The 15,839-nt window shown below is 40.3% G+C and overlaps 1 long non-coding RNA gene across 4 annotated transcripts in view; it reads right to left on the reverse strand.

The window, feature by feature from the left end:
• The window catches only part of MSRB3-AS1 (MSRB3 antisense RNA 1), a 175,556-nt gene that overhangs the window by 118,321 nt on the left and 41,396 nt on the right, over positions 1-15,839 (reverse strand). Inside the window, exon 3 of one of the 4 annotated variants that reach the window (NR_120434.1) lies at positions 2,206-2,315. The exons of the other annotated variants lie outside the window; for them this stretch is intronic. This is a non-coding gene — a long non-coding RNA (MSRB3 antisense RNA 1). The remainder of the gene's footprint in view (positions 1-2,205; positions 2,316-15,839) is intronic. 4 annotated transcript variants of the gene reach the window in all.

A 15,839-nucleotide genomic window follows, 5' to 3' on the forward strand; every position in this document is an offset into this window, starting at 1 on the left:
ACTCCTGACCTCAGCTGATCTGATCGCCTCAGCCTACCAAAGTGCTGGGATTACAGACATGAGCCACCATGTCCAGCCTGAAACAGAATACTTCTCATGGTGAATGTTTGAGTCCTCTAGATGATCAAAAGCAAACTCTACATCTATCGAAGATACCTTAGTTTGCTTGCTTCAAGATAATTTGAAGGCCTCACCTGATCATAGAAATCTCATAAAATGGGACAAATGATTTCAATCTAGTGTGTATACCTCCAAACTGTCATTAAAAAAATACAGGCTCCAGTATTTTTAAAGTATTCATTGAAGTATACAAGTAATTTTCGAGGATGGATTTGCATTGTCTGTCTTCTAGTTGTATTTGTTTGATTAAGAGACACTTTTGTCTCCAGAAAGATATTCAATGTGTGAGCATTATAGATAGAACTTGACTGCTTCAAAACTTCTCTGGCTCCCCTCATCTACACTGTACCCTAAATTTACTGCATCCTGCAAGGTCAGGAAGGCAACTAGACCAAGTTTTCCCTCCTTTCCTCCAGCTCCACTCTCATTAGCTACTATCCTTCCTGGAATACATAACACTAATAGTTCTTTATTTGCCTAGTCTATTTTAAGCCATCAGCAAATGGAAGCCACTCTTCTGAACCTCCTATTGCAGCAATTCCCCAGAATTGAAAAAAAAAAAAAAAGGCCATCTGTTGTCTCAACTATCTGTGGAGCTAAAGTAAAGGCTTTAACTTAATGCTCTTCAGCAGAGTAATAGGAAAACATCCATCACCCAGTGACAGGTTAGGTCGACTGTCCCAACAGATGGATGTCTGCCGTTGCACACATTAAGGAAACAGAGTTGATCACTCCAAGGATACAATAAAATCTCAGAACTTCCAAGAAACTAAGAACTACTGCAAAAGGGATAGATTCTTCCAGAATACAAAAGCTATTTCCTAATTGTGCACCTGGTGCATTCCAAATTCACATTAAACTCTCAGGCCTTGGTGTTGCAGACTAGGTTATTGCTCTGAGGTACTAGATGCATTAGGCTTTTGACCTTTCAACTCCTGAGAATTAGCAAAACTTCTCTGATTGCTCATCCTGTGTGGAGGCAAGCCGGCTCTGAAAGCCTGAATTGAAGGCCTGGAAAAGTGGTGAGAGGCAGTTCCATGACAGAACTGACATATTCAGGATTTCTGTGCAGCAGCCTCAATTGAATCACTCTCTTCTCCTCTCTGACACTCAAACTTTCTCTCAATCTTGTTCTAATTTGGCCAGAAGAGGGAAGTCTCTATCTTCCCATCACTGAACCTATAAATCTGACTTTACCCACACCCATTTTCTCCATCTAGTTATGAAAAGGAATCACTGTTAATATTTAGTAAACATTTATTACATAACAGGCAATGTCCTAAGTACTTTACATATATAAGCTCATTTGGTTCTCAAATAGCTCTGTGTGGTAAGTAATTATATTATCACCATTTTATTGGATGAGGCCACTGAATACAGAGAGTTCAGGCAACTTGCTTAGTCACAGAGCCAGGAGGTCTCAGAGCCAGGATTCAAACTCAGGTATTCTAACTACAGAACCCATCTTACCTGCTGCACTGTACTGACTGAGGAGAGCCACCTGCTATGGATAAGTGCCTCCTCCTGTGCTCTCACGCCATCCTTCAGCAAAGATTGAGTGAGAACCCACTCTGTGTCTGGGCTAGGTTCTGGGATATAATTATATGCAAAAACAGATACTAAAGAGGTAGTCAGCCAAGCACAGTGGCTCATGACTGTAATCCCAGCAATTTGGGAGGCCAAGGCAGGCAGAACACTTAGGCCCAGGAATTCAAGACCAGCCTGGGCAACATGCCAAAACCCTGTCTCTACAAAAAATAATTTTAAAAAAAGTAGCTGGGCATGGTGGTGCATGTCTGTAGTACCTGTGAGGCTGAGATGGAAGAATCACCTGAGCCCAGGAAGTAGACGCAACAGTGAACCATGATTGTGCCACTGCACTCCAGCCTGGGCAACAGAGTAAAATCTTGTTTCAAAAAAGAGGTAGTTATGCTAACTCATATGTAATGAATGAAAAAGTGAGAAAGGAATACACTATTAAGAGCACATATAATGAAAGGACCTTGCCCTAAACAGGGGGATCAGAGGAGGCTTCCCAGGAGGAGATATGTTTAAGCTGAACAATGGAGAATGAACGGGGATTACCTTGGGCAAGAGGAGCAACGACGGTCATTATGGAGGGAAGCAGGAGATGTCAAAGATGAGTCCAGGCTTGCGGTTGGCTCATCTAAAGGCCACTAGTTACTCACTCTTTTCTGAAGATGAACACATAAGCAATTTCTTGATCTTTACCTTTGACTGAAAGTCCTTCATCATATAGTATTTTATATATTTTGTACATTTATATATTTTAACAAAATATTAAAATGTATAATATAAATATATATTTATACAAATATAAATACACACACACACACACACACACACACACACACACAGTTCCATCCAAAAGAAGGAAACAAGAAAACCACCCCTGAAACATTGAGAAATGGCATGGTGAAGGGGGAAAAGCAATGAATTAGGACCCAGAAATTCATAGGTTTAGTCCTGGCTGAGCCATTAGTTTACTGTTGACCTTGGCCTTGGTTTCTCCATCTTTAAGATGGAGGTAGTAGTGCCTGCCTTAGTTCGCCCTCCAGAGTCACTGCGAAGATTAAATGCTATAATCTATAAGGGGGAAAACTTAGAAAACATTCTCATGCTTTGGCTAAGAGCTTTGGAAAGCACTTAGTTACGTGGAGATTCCAGGGAAGTTTCCTTCAGTTTTCTCTGCATTATTAGATTTCTTGTTGTAGAAAAGTGTGTGCGCTTTGTGAACCAGGTTTTCAGAGCCTCCAGATTTCCTTAAGTACAGCACATGTCCCTGAGGGTATATGGCACACACTTCCCTTTTAACAACTGCACATTTCACTTAATGTTTAGTGTTTCTGCTTCAAAATGAATGCTACTCCATGGCTGGTGTGGGTGAATAGCCCACACTGGTCTTAGTTCAGTTTGTGTCAGTGATTAGCTCAGCTGAAATTGGTTGGGAAAGGAGGAGAACACTGTTCAGCTTGATAAAAATAAAGTACATTCTTTCAATAAAGAGGGAGTGAACAGAAAGCAATTGACTGTGGAGAAGGCAGGTGACCTAACAACTACAGAAGAGAATTTAAAGTTTGGCATTGGAAGCCACTGACTTCCAATTCTAATGTGACATATTGAATTGTGTGACTTGGACATGCACACACATACATATACATGTGTACATGTTTATGTTTCTATACATATTTCTGCATGAATATGTAAATATATGTGTATTTATATTCATAATGCACTCTCAAGTTCAAAGACTCTGAGCCACATTAGTGTACAGTTTTATAATTTAAGATGATTTTGTTATCAAAAAATTGGAACTTCTACCTATTTAAAACTTATTTCTACTGTTTTAAGTGAAAATATTTAGTTGTAAACAGCAGACAGCCATTCTAAGGAAAAAAATTATTAAAAGGCCCCCACTTTTTTTTTGAGAAACAGTCTCACTCTGTCACGCAGGCTGGAGTGCAGTAGTACAATCATAGCTCGCTGCAGCCTCAAACTCCTGGGCTCAAGTGATCCCCCTTCCTCAGCCTCCCAAGTCGCTGGGACTACAAGCACACACCCCCACACCTGGCTAATTTTTAAATTTATTCTAGAGCTGGATCTCACTATGTTGCTTAGGCTGGTCTCAAACCCTTGGGCTCAGCCTCCCAAAGTGCTAGGATTACAGGCAAGAGCCACCATATCCGGCTCTTAAAAGGCTTTTGAGTAGCTCGTGGAATTGCCAGGTGCCTTAGAGAAGATTCTGAACTCTATAGCCAGGAACAATGCTCAGAATCAAATTGCAGAACCTTTCTGGTGAGGACATCATAGCTGCTTATGATCCCTAGATTCTATGGGCAGCTGCCACCACTACCAGAGTCTTCCTTGCAATGCGAGCTTCTTGCATCATGACTTCTAGATTCCAAGTATGCAAAGGTACATATTACTGGGGAACCTGGGCCACATGCTCGCGCCTAGCTCTAGAGAAATTTGGGAAACAATAAGTATGTATGCAGCATTTTTAGCTTCTGTACTAGTTGATAACATGAGCTTCCACCAAGAATCCTAAAGCGTGGAAGTCTTCAAATATGGGTAAGAAGTTCTGATGTTTATTGGACAACCAAAAAGAGTGACATTTGTGTACCATGACAGAGTAGTGCTAATAGATGCTAATTCCAAAGATAAGAGGCTGAGCCTGGCTTTCAGTCTTTAAGAAAGTATTTGAAAAACAGAGTCTATACAATGAATTCCTGATTTTAGGAAAAGCTGCACAGTCTCCCAGGAATACCCTGACAGATCAGAGCAGTAATAAAGCAACACAGCTCAGGCCTAAGGAGCAGATACTTCTAGAAAAGTTTCAACAACAGAAACCTGATTAAAAAAAAAAAAAAAGCATAGCCATTGATATAAAACATATGACACATATCTTAGTTGGACTCTCAAAACATTTCTCACTTCTCTACAACAAACAATGCTTCCAAAAATGGCCCATGCCCTGTCTCTAGGAGATGAATTGGATTCAACTCATCCCATTTCAGAGCACGTTTGATAGAGTTCATGTACCAAGCCCTTCCTGTGGGCTGAGGAACTTTCCGTGGGCTGAGGAACTTCTCAACTTCCACTGTTCCATAGTGGGGAAAAATTCATTTGGTAAGCTGTTAAAAACTCCTAGTCATTAAATGAAGTTTGCTCTGCCTTGGGTCAAAAATAAAAAGGCCTATTGCCTCTTAAATTACCATGTCTGAGGCCATTTGTAGTAGTTCCTTGCTATTCTTGAGGAGGAAAAAAAGGCACGATCCTCTGCAAAAATGGTAGTTATGCTCTTTTAGGAGCCACCTCCTTGACACAGGTGGGGAGGCTTAGTTGGGTGAGGGGTCCCAGCTAAGCAAACCTCTGGGAAGGCCCAGCCTGGGCATAGCCAGTGTGTCCTCATGCCAAGATCTTCCCAGAATGAGTCTTGGGAGGATTTAGGTCTCTGAGTGTGGAAAGCTGGGCAGGAGCCAGCACACCTTCTCCAGAGGCACAGAAACTTGGGGGCACAGTACCAAATAGCCATTCTTTCTTTACCTAGTCTCTAGTCACCCTTTGGAAAAAAGGTTTTAGTATTCATTTTAACATCCCACAATTGCAGAGTGGCCACCTGTCACCTCTCACCACAGATCCACAACCACAGTCCCCCCAGAGTCTCTGACAGAAGGTCCTGCTTGCAGAGGAAGCAATTCAACAGGCCTTTGGAAGGCAGCCGAGCAGCAGCAGGAGGCCTATTAAAACCACAATTTCAGAATCTCAGGGTGGGCATTTTCTTGTGGCGTATTAAGTAACACACCTACTCAAGTTACTGTGTGAACTCAGTGGACAGCTGCCCTTTCAGTGAGAAGCGTATGCTTGTACTGCGCTGTCCCTACCCCCACCACCCCCAAGTTCAATCACAGACCCTTCAGAGATGTTTGGCCTGAGAAGAGCAGTGGAAATGGAGTGAAGCTTGGATGAAGATGTCGAAGGCCAGGAGTCACCCCTTAATGAAGAGCTCCAAATGCCTGGGGGTTCACCCAAGGGCCAGAACCAGAGAACAGTTGCATTTACCCAAAATAGAGATAGACACAGGTAGAAGAATCTACTCGAAGTGGAAATGGCCTCTTTCTCATATTCGCCCTTGAAAAAATATGGGAGGAAGAACGGGAAATGGTGGTTCCGAGAATTGATTCTCAAGTCAGAATCATGTGCACTCAAATCACTTAAAGAATTGGCATGACCTTGAACAAATCTTGCTTACTCTCTGTTAAGTTTTGTTTTTCTCTATCATGATAAGAAATACCATGGTCGTGAGAAATAAATGAGATATTAAATGTAAAACAGGCCAGGCGCAGTGGCTCACACCCGTAATCCCAACACTTTGGGAGGCAGAGGTGGGCAGATCACCTAAGGTCGGGAGTTCGAGATCAGCCTGGCCAACATGGTGAAACCCTGTCTCTACTAAAAATACAAAAAAGTAGCTGGGCGTGGTGGCGTGCTCCTATACCCCAGCTACTCGGAAGGCTGAGGCACGAGAATTGCTTGAATCGGGGAGGCGGAGGTTGCAGTAAACTAAGATCACGCCACTGCACTCTAGCCTGGGCAACAGAGTGAGACTCTGTCTCAAAAAATAAAAAAATAAATAAATAAAATAAAATAAATGTAAAACAGGTGATACCTATAAAGCACATACTTTATGTATCAGTTATTTTAATGTTTTCATAGATAGTGGTTAAACTGGTGTGGTTACTATGTCCCTCTTTCCTCCACTTGGTAAATAAGATATATTTTCCTTTAAGGTAGGGTGATGTACTGTTTGTATTTAATGTTTTTATTTCATAGTGTGTTTCTATTTAATGAAAAACTTAAAGGAAAACTTCACTGTGTGCCACCTGCTTTGTGCATTGTAAAATGGATGCTGTCTTCATAGAATTTCTTCCTGAAAGGGATTCTGATGGAACTAAACAAGAAGAATTCTATGTGAGAGGGAAAATTCAGAACCCGAAAAGGAAACCCAAAAAAGAAGTTAAGAGAGGGAAGTGTGTGGAAATACCATTTACTAATACACTCCTTTCACTCCCCTATAGACTGAGTAATATAACATTGACCAATATAGAGCGTCATGGAAATGCTCATGCATAATGGAAGTAATGGTCAGACTTGAACAGAGCTTAACTTTGCTTTCATTGGGCATCCGCTTCACAGCATTGAGGCCAGCTTTCTGCAGTGAAGGAGAAGGGCATGAAATATAGATTGCCAGGCCTCTGGGGACTCTGAGGAATGAGAGGTACTAAATAAGGATGAAATTCATCCTGGTCTTATTACACTGCCCTCTTCCATCTCTCATATCATGAAGTAAGTTTGGCAAGAGAGTAGAAGAAAGAGAGAATCAGCTTAAATAATAGGGAAGGAAATCTGTTCCTGGGCAATTTTTTTGGCAAGTTTGACAATAAATAAAGAGTGAGATAATGAGACTAGCTCAGTAATTCTCTGACTTTCTCATCCTTTATCCCTTCAGAGAGCCTGTTTGGTCTCTCCCACTAACGGGAGAGCTGTAGGAATAGCTTTCCTCTGTTTTGCTTCAGAAGGAAAATATGCTAAGGGAGACAAGAACAGACCTAGGAGGCACAGAAAGTGAACATGAAGAAAGGGTGGTGTCAAAGAAAAAGGGGCCTTTGGCAGATCTGTGATCTGGAAAAAGGGGAATCGGAGGTGATCCTGTGGAAGGAAAAGCATCTACTAATGCATTTTACATCAAATTTCTGTTCAGATTCTGACAACTCTGATTTCTTTAAATCTTTTGCAATTGCCCCACAGCCTTTCGACATACTGTGACTCCCAACCTGAAAACATTTGACAACACGGGTTATATGAATAAACAACAGAAAAACCCTGTGCTCCAAACTTGAGTCTTTTGAAAGCCTTTGCTTCTGACATTTCCTACTTTAAAAAATAAATGCCTTTCTTCTTAAGGAACACTAGACAATGAGAACAGATTTTTAAATTTTAATTTTTTTTTTAATGAAAATCCTATTCAGATGCATACTGATTCACAGGAGATTTGAAATGTCTCCAATTACCAATTTGGAATTTTAAGCAGATCTTGGAATCATAGACATCTAGACATGGGAGGTATCATAGAGGCCAACTCATTCAGAGTCCACCTGTTGCAAGAATCCCCTACGTGTGTAACAATTGGATGGTAATTGACCTAGGCATGGAGAACTCAGTAATTTTCAATGCAGATCGTTCCTTTGTTGAGAAGCCATCATGTCAGAAGGTTCTTTATTATAAAGTCAAGTCTACCTCTGTTCTTTCACCCCAATGTTTACCCATTGGCCTTAGTTCTGTCCTTTATAAGTTCACATCATAACTCTACAATCAATAACTCTTCTATGTAATTTCCCTTAAAATATGTGAAAACAGTTCTCATTTCCCTCATTAGTTTTCTCTTTTCCAGGTAAGGAGATGGGTCCCTTCTCTGTACTCATTCCTCAATTGATATAATTTCCAGACAATTCCCCATCCCCATAACTCTGTAGAAGTTTCTTTCTTCCTTCACTTTTTTTTTGTTTTACAAGGCAAACTTTCCTAGAAGAGCAAAGAAAACATTCTTTTCCAAGATCTGACTGGGCTTAGCCATTTCGTACACATTATGGCATGTGATAGTGGACTATAAAAACTTTTATTGCTGTGCATTTGAATAAAGGATGACTGCATTTGTTAAGCAAGCTCTTTCCAAACAAGTCATAATAAAAAGTTTACAGCATCCCACTTCATCACATAACTTTTTAATGCTGCTCCTTTTGTTCGGTTTTGGTTCTGGTTTTCAGTCCTTCTTCACTTTTTTTCCCCTTGAACTATCAGAGTTATTCTGGAAATTCCCATGGAGAGTTTCAAGTTGGAAGCCTGGTCCTAAAAGGCCTTTTTCTTGAGACCATCTCCTGGATTTGGACCATGAATCAGACAGAAATAATGATGCCATCTTCATGGTAGGGCCCAGTGCAGTGCATGTGTGCAGTATAAAGTCAGTTTATATATGGCTTGAAATTGTATCCCAGGGTTTGGAAAATGCAGAAGTTTATGCGATGGATATCATGACCACACATGAGGTGTTGTGAAGATACATATGTATCTTAAAATATACATATCTGCAAGAATATACATATCTGTATATATGTATAATGGAGAGCTTTAAACTATCAAAGCCTTCAGGCAAATATTTTATGGCTATCTAATGGTGGGTATTTATAACTTAGCCTCTTGACTTCAGAAGTTGAGATTTGGCACTGCAAACACCAAGTAAATACCAGGCATGATTAGTGTAGGAACTTCATGCCATTGGCATTAAAAAAAATTAAGATGGTCTTACTTTAAACATTTGTTCCAATGTATAGAAGAAGTAGTAACATTTTTTAAGGCACCAGGGCTGATTTTAAGATGCCTTTCTCTGGGATTCTGATTTTAAACATTTACCTTTGGGCTTAAAAAACATCTCTGTCTATGAAAAGAATAGGATAAGTTAAAAGACTTAAAGAAGTCTTTCCCTCTTCATTACCCACAGCCTCTCTTCAAAATATTATCAATATTTGTGGGTATGCTGGGAGTAAGAGGATAAGCTGGTCAGTGTAGCTTTAGTTAGAGGGAAAAACTCTGTAACTACTTTAAGGTATCAAATGGGGAACAGTTGGAAAAGCAAGCTTGATTAAAGACAGCTAACATCACTTCAGGAAGGGGAGTCGTGCCTAACTAATTTGTTGGAATTCTTTGAGGAAATCGCTGCCCCAGTGAGCTGGATGGGGGAAGGGAGGAGATTATAGACTAAGTTTTTCAGAAAGCGCTCTACAGAATTCTCCACTGTTGGTTGAAATGTTTAAGGTCTGAAGTCATGGAAGTGTAGGACAATCGGCATATTGGACTAAAAACTGGCAAAAGGGGAGGAAAGAAAGGGTAACTATGGACAGAAAACAGGCTGTGTCAGCCTCGAAAACAGGATCATAAAAGGGATTTAAAAAAGTGAGAGGGTATTTTTAAAAAGAGAGAGAGGGAAGCTGTACTTGGCATTTGAACTGGAGCTTTCAGAGAACACTAAAGGTGTCCCTCTGGGAAGTTTATCTGGAAGGGGAGTGGGGAGTGGGGTGGGGGGAGGGGTAAGGAGAACAAAAGAGATAATTCACCCATAAGCAGACAGATTCTACTTGTGGGGACTTCCCCACCTGGAAGGGCACTGTATCACCACGTCCTGGTTGTCAGCCTGAGCTACATAGTACATTGCTTTTTTCTTGAGAGTCTCCAAAATAAATCCACCAAGCAATTTGATTTATTTAAACCCTAACGTAGCGTGAACTCAGAATGATCGGAATATGTTCCAAGATGAAACTACCTTTTCACTTTCTGAAGCTGTTTACAGATAAGAAAGAACATTAATAAAGCAGTATTTCATATGTCACTGTCGATGATTTGATAACCTGTTGCCTAGAGATGGACAATTCTGACAGGGGATTATGTGGCCCTTGCTGCAATGCCCCCCTACAACCCACTTCCCGCCCACTCCCGCTTCTTACCTTTCCCCGCACTCCCTACTTCTCCCCATCCCCCCACCACTTCCGTCCCTTCAACTTCCCTGGGATTTGAGTGTTCCTCTGCTTGTTAGTGTCTCCAGCAGGTCCCAGGGAAGGAAAGCAAAGTTTGATCACAGTTAGGTATCTGTTTTCAGGCCTTGTATACCTTTTACCAGACAAGGTGAAACTCCAAGAGTAACCAGTTAACCTTCCTTTGAGAGTTTTGTTTTGTAGGGTTATAGAAAAAACAATTCCCTGCCCACATGTACCTCAAATAATCCCCCTCACAGATCTGGATAAAATATGAATTTTCTCTAAAAGAGTCAGCCAGTTAAACCTTTGTTTAGAATTTAGATTAACACATTTGGGAAAGGAGACCCTCAGGAAAGTAAATTCCGATGAAAACTCAGGGGCAAAGAGGGAAACGTTTTTAAAGAACCAGTGCTCAGGGACCAGATAGGTAGCACTGATGAGCAAAGGCGTGAGTGCAAGACAGGGGGGATGGGAAGCCTGTGGTGCCTGCAGAGCCCACACCACCCAGGGAGAGGTGTTCACATCCAGAGACACCTGCAGCCTTGGGCTGGCTAAACCAACCTTTCTGCAGGCTGGATTAGGCCCTTAGACTGCATCTATGGGACCTCTGTGTTAGAGCAATGGTTTCCAAACCTTTGAGGATGGGGACCACTTTTCAAAGTAAAAAATCTGAGGTTTCCCAATATAGTCATTTCATATCTATTGATTAAGAAAATTTACCGGGCATGGTGGCTCACACCTTTAATCCCAGCACTTTGGGAGGCCAAGGTGGGTGGATCACTTGATGCCAGGAGTTCAATACCAGCCTGGCCAACATGGTGAAACCTCATCTCTACTAAATAAACAAAAATTAGACAGGTGTGGTGGTGTGTGTCTGTAATCCCAGCTACTATAGAGGCTGAGGCACAAGAATCACTTGAACCTGGGAGGTGGAGGTTGCAGTGAGCCGAGATTGTGCCACTGTACTCCAGTCTGGGCAACAGAGCGAGACTCCATAAAAAAAAGAAAAGAAAAGAAATTCATAAGAACAAAAAGTTTTGATGCATTATTGTAATGTCTGAAAATGAATTTCATTTTACCCACTGAGCCTGGTGCTGCAAACATGAGATTAAAGATAGAATAGCCCTTCCCCTGGTCTAATGGGTGAAGTAACCAAGTAAACAGGTGATCAACAAAGATTTTTTGTTGATATAAAAAAAAGTGAGACATGGTGCTGTGTGGTCACATAGGAAGGGCATCTAGCTAAATCTTGGCAGAGTTCAGCAACAACTTCCGCAAACATGTGGCAACTTAGCACATCTTCGTGACTAAGGTGTAAGTGGCAGTTGGCCAGAACTTGGTATATGTGGGGGTATTTTAAGGTAGAGAGAAGAGCATATGCAAAGGTTCTGTAGTGAGAGGACAGGTTTCCCTCCAGGAAATGAGTAGATCAGTACTCAGTACAGCTAGAATAGGGTGAGGAGAAACAGAGATAGAGAGAAAGAGAAAGAGAGAGGAGGGAGAGTGAGAGAGAGAGTTAAATCTAGAAAGGAATGCAAAGGACAATCATTGAGCAATCTATATGTGTTATCCTCACGGCATATTTACATGGCTCTAAATTAAGGATCACATGACTATATAAATCTTAGCAAGCTGGCAAGAATTCCAAGTCTCCCTTAGGTTGGAGCTTCACACTTTAGAAACCAAATGCACAGCAAAAAGAGCTATATAGCTCAGTAGTATAATAGTTGGTCAGGGCTGCCATAACAAAGGACCACCAACTGAGTGGCTTACACAATAGAAATTTAGTGTTTCACAGTTCTAGAGGTTAGAAGTCTGAAGTCAAGGTATTAGCAGAGTTGGTTCCTTCTGAGTGTAGTGAAGGAAGGATCTGTTCCAAGGTTCTCTTCTTGACTTGTTGATAGCTGTCTTCATGTTTACATTGGTGTTCTGAACCCTGTATAAGTTTCTGCCTCTAATTTTTATAAAGACACAAGCCATATTGGATTAGGGCCTATCCTAATGATTTCATTTTAACTTGATGACCTCTGCAAAAACCCTATATCCAAAATAAGGTGACATGCTGAGGTGACATGCTGAGGTACTAGGGGTTAGGACTTCAACACGGGAATTTTGTGAGAATCAATTCAACTCTTAAGACCCAGGTTAAGTTGCTCAAATGGGGCTGGGGGACCCAGAGCATTTGGTAAGGTGTCAGAGGTTCTTGGGTACCTGGAGGGCAGCAGGATGAGGAGACACAACAAAGGAGGAGGAGAGGAGTGAAGGGGCTGTGGAGTCCAGACTTGGCTCTTTTCCTACTCTTGCCTTGATTTGGCCCAACTCCACAGTCCTTGAAAGGCAGGCTGTACCCAACCACAGGGAGTAATCATTGCTTTTTACAGATAAGGAAGAGGTTGAAGTCACTTCCTTTCTCTGCCTTTGCACTGTCTAACAACCATCTTGCTGATAAAGAAGATCTCCAAATAAATTCCTCCCTCTTGTCATGGGAAAGCCTAGTCCAGACTCAATTTTGACTTTGGATCTTTGAAGAGATTCACCTAATTAATTTCTCACAAGGGATGTGGTCTTCACTTCCTTGCCTCCCCAAGCAAATAGTCTCCTTCCTTGGGGCTCAGCCTAGCTTAGGCTGTCATAATTTTGTACTGTCAAAAAGATCCCTTAGAAATAGCCACCTATCCATTCAATGTGGGCAAAAAGAAATCAAATGAAACAAACACAAAGAAGGCAGATTCCAGTTCTGTACATGGAGCTCCTTAAGAGAGGGCAGTTAATAAAAACCAAACTACTTGAGGGGGATTTTGATACTTATTTTTTAAGGCTTGTTTAGGCACAACAGAATCAAAGTTTCTCTGTGCCTCTGTGGGCAGCATCTTATTAATTGTCCTGAGGAATTCTCTGTAAAATGTCTGTTGATTTAAACCCTCTTATTATTTTTATTTAATTTCCAGATGTGCTCTGATGTTCTTTGGAAAATAAGCCCTCACGATTAATATCCCCAGCAATGTTCAATCAGTAAAGATTCTGGGACTATATGTGATATTTCTCCTTGTTCTCAGGGTCTACTTAATCTCTCCCCTCCCCACCTCCAACAAGAAATGATAATCCATTGTACCAGGTAAGAGAGGAGAAAGCAAGATTTTAAAAAATGATAAAATGGTAACTTTCTGAAAAGCAAGTGAGGTGGGATGGGTTTTCTTTTCCTTTCCTTTCCTGGCAACTACCCATGATTGAGGTAAGATGAGAGAAGAGGTACTTTGCAAATAGAACTCAAGGCTCAGGGGGAGTCATCATTCTTTTAGAATAACAAGGTAAAGGACAAATGCTAACTGGAGGTGAATTTTCCCAGTGATAAAAGCATGATTAAATTTTAGAGATTTCCCTTTGAGGCCAAAATTGTCTGGGAGTAGGTTAAAACCGTAAGCAGGTAACTTGAAAATTGGTTTCCCAGCTTCCTGTCTGGCTCTCAACATACAATTCTATGTAAGAAGGACTCTGTGAGCCCACTGCAGGGGATGAGTACTGTCAATAGAAAGTCATTCTCATCCTTATAAGGTCATGAGCCATTGAGATAGAGATTGCACTACTTGAAAGATAAAGTAGAGCAATCAGTAGCAACACTCTAGCAAGGGCTTACTATATGCTAGGCACTATACACATCATTCCATTTAATTATCTCAATAACTTTGAAATGTAGCCTTAGAAAGGTAGAGAGATTTGTATAAAGTCTCTCAGTTAGTGAATAGACAATCTGAAATTCAACTCCAAATCTGTTTGACATCAAAACTGAAGGCTCTGGCACTACATTACATTAGTGTGGAATGTTTGCCCAATGTTCAGTCCTGATCATGGGAAATGAATTATGGAGCTTTTTAATTCATATGCAGGCAATTTTTTGCTATTCACAGAAGCTATGTTCTACAAAGTTATCATTAACGCTGAATTAGTGAGTACTGAACCACTGCTCCTAGAGAAAAGACAGGGTTAAGTTCCTGCAAGTTGCCGATCACATTTTTTTCTGCCAATCAGTGTATAATTTTGCTTTGTGTGTGTTTCTGTTTAAAGACACCTTATTTAATACATACTGTTGATTCATTAACATTGAACTCATGGCCAACACCACTGTAACTCATGCCTGAACATAGCTTATCTAATGCACATATTTTCTTCATAAAGTGCATCACAGCCTTCTTGCACTTAGGAATACCAGATATTTGGGGACCATTTAGAACAGCAAAATCATCAATAAAAAACACAAAAATGCAAAAATTTGACACTAAATAGGTGACGAAAATGACACTTCTTTATAGTATGGAAGCTAAAACATTGAAGGCAGAGTGTCACCTTGTTTAATCACAGCTGGGAGTATGAATGTTGGGTGGCTCAATTTTTTTGTCATTCTGTGCATGTCTGTGAATAACTGAGAAAGTTCTCAGAGTACTCATTTTAGAATTACAAATACATTTTCGTGAGTAGGTAAATTTGTAATTACAAAATCTATAATATAAATAATGAGGTTTGATGGCTTTCTGACATAGTTATTAAGCTAGTTTAGGAAAAAAATCCCACATTTTAGAGGAAAAATGAAACATTGCTCTTTCAGCCTAAATGTTTGAATGCAAAAACCAGATAATTGGTAAATACATGTTTTTTTAGGTTTTGCTCATTTAAATTATCTGGATTCAAAGATGCAGTTTTGGTTTATGGCATTGCTCCACACAGAAGAGGGCTTTTACCAAAAGCATTTACCTATGAAGTTTTAAAATTTTCTTTTTAATTAAGTTCTTACTGAAATTTTTGCCTCCCTAGAGAAGACTTCATTAAACAAACAATTCTATTAGCCCATTATTTAATTTTATTTTTAATTATTTTATCACTTCTCCCAAATGACCTAGACACTTGCTCTGCCCATTTCTGTCAAGAGCAGAATCACCAGCCCTGTCAACTCTCTCCATACCTTGGGTGGAACAAAGATCTTTGAAATCTCATGAAGACCAGCAGACCCAATCTTTTGAAATAATGGAGACTGGAGAAATTAAGTGCAGAATATTCAGTTAACTACTTACCTAACACACACAGTCACTTTCAGAAAACTCTATGAAACATGGAAATCAAGATGCTGAAAACTCAGAGAAGGTATTTACTAAATTTTTCCTTCTCCATACTTTGTCTTTATAACTAGTGATTGGTACTTGACCAATAATGGTGAAGTAACTATGGAGAAGGACGTTTCTTGGAAAGGCTTTCCTTTCTTCTGACTGACATGGTGGAGGAACACAATCTTATTTCTGCCTTAAGGCTAATGACAATCTTTTGATACAGCATTCAAGGTTTTCCATGATTTAGACCCAGTTTTTCTTCCACTCTTATCTTCCACCACTGCCTCATTTCAGAATCTCTTTGCCAGCCAAGTGGGTATTTGATATAGATGAAGAATAAGGCATGAACCATAACCTTTTAGGAGTTTAGGGTTTAGTTAATAAAATAAGACTAACATACATAAAAATGAATGATGTAAGAGGGTTATGTAATGAAGGTTCATTAATATGGCATAAACTGTAGAGTTTATATGAATTTGAGAGAGAATGGATTAGTCAGAGAAAGCAATGTGAGCTC

Source organism: Homo sapiens, chromosome 12 (assembly GCF_000001405.40).
Source record: "Homo sapiens chromosome 12, GRCh38.p14 Primary Assembly".
NCBI classification, from domain to species: Eukaryota; Metazoa; Chordata; class Mammalia; order Primates; family Hominidae; genus Homo; species Homo sapiens.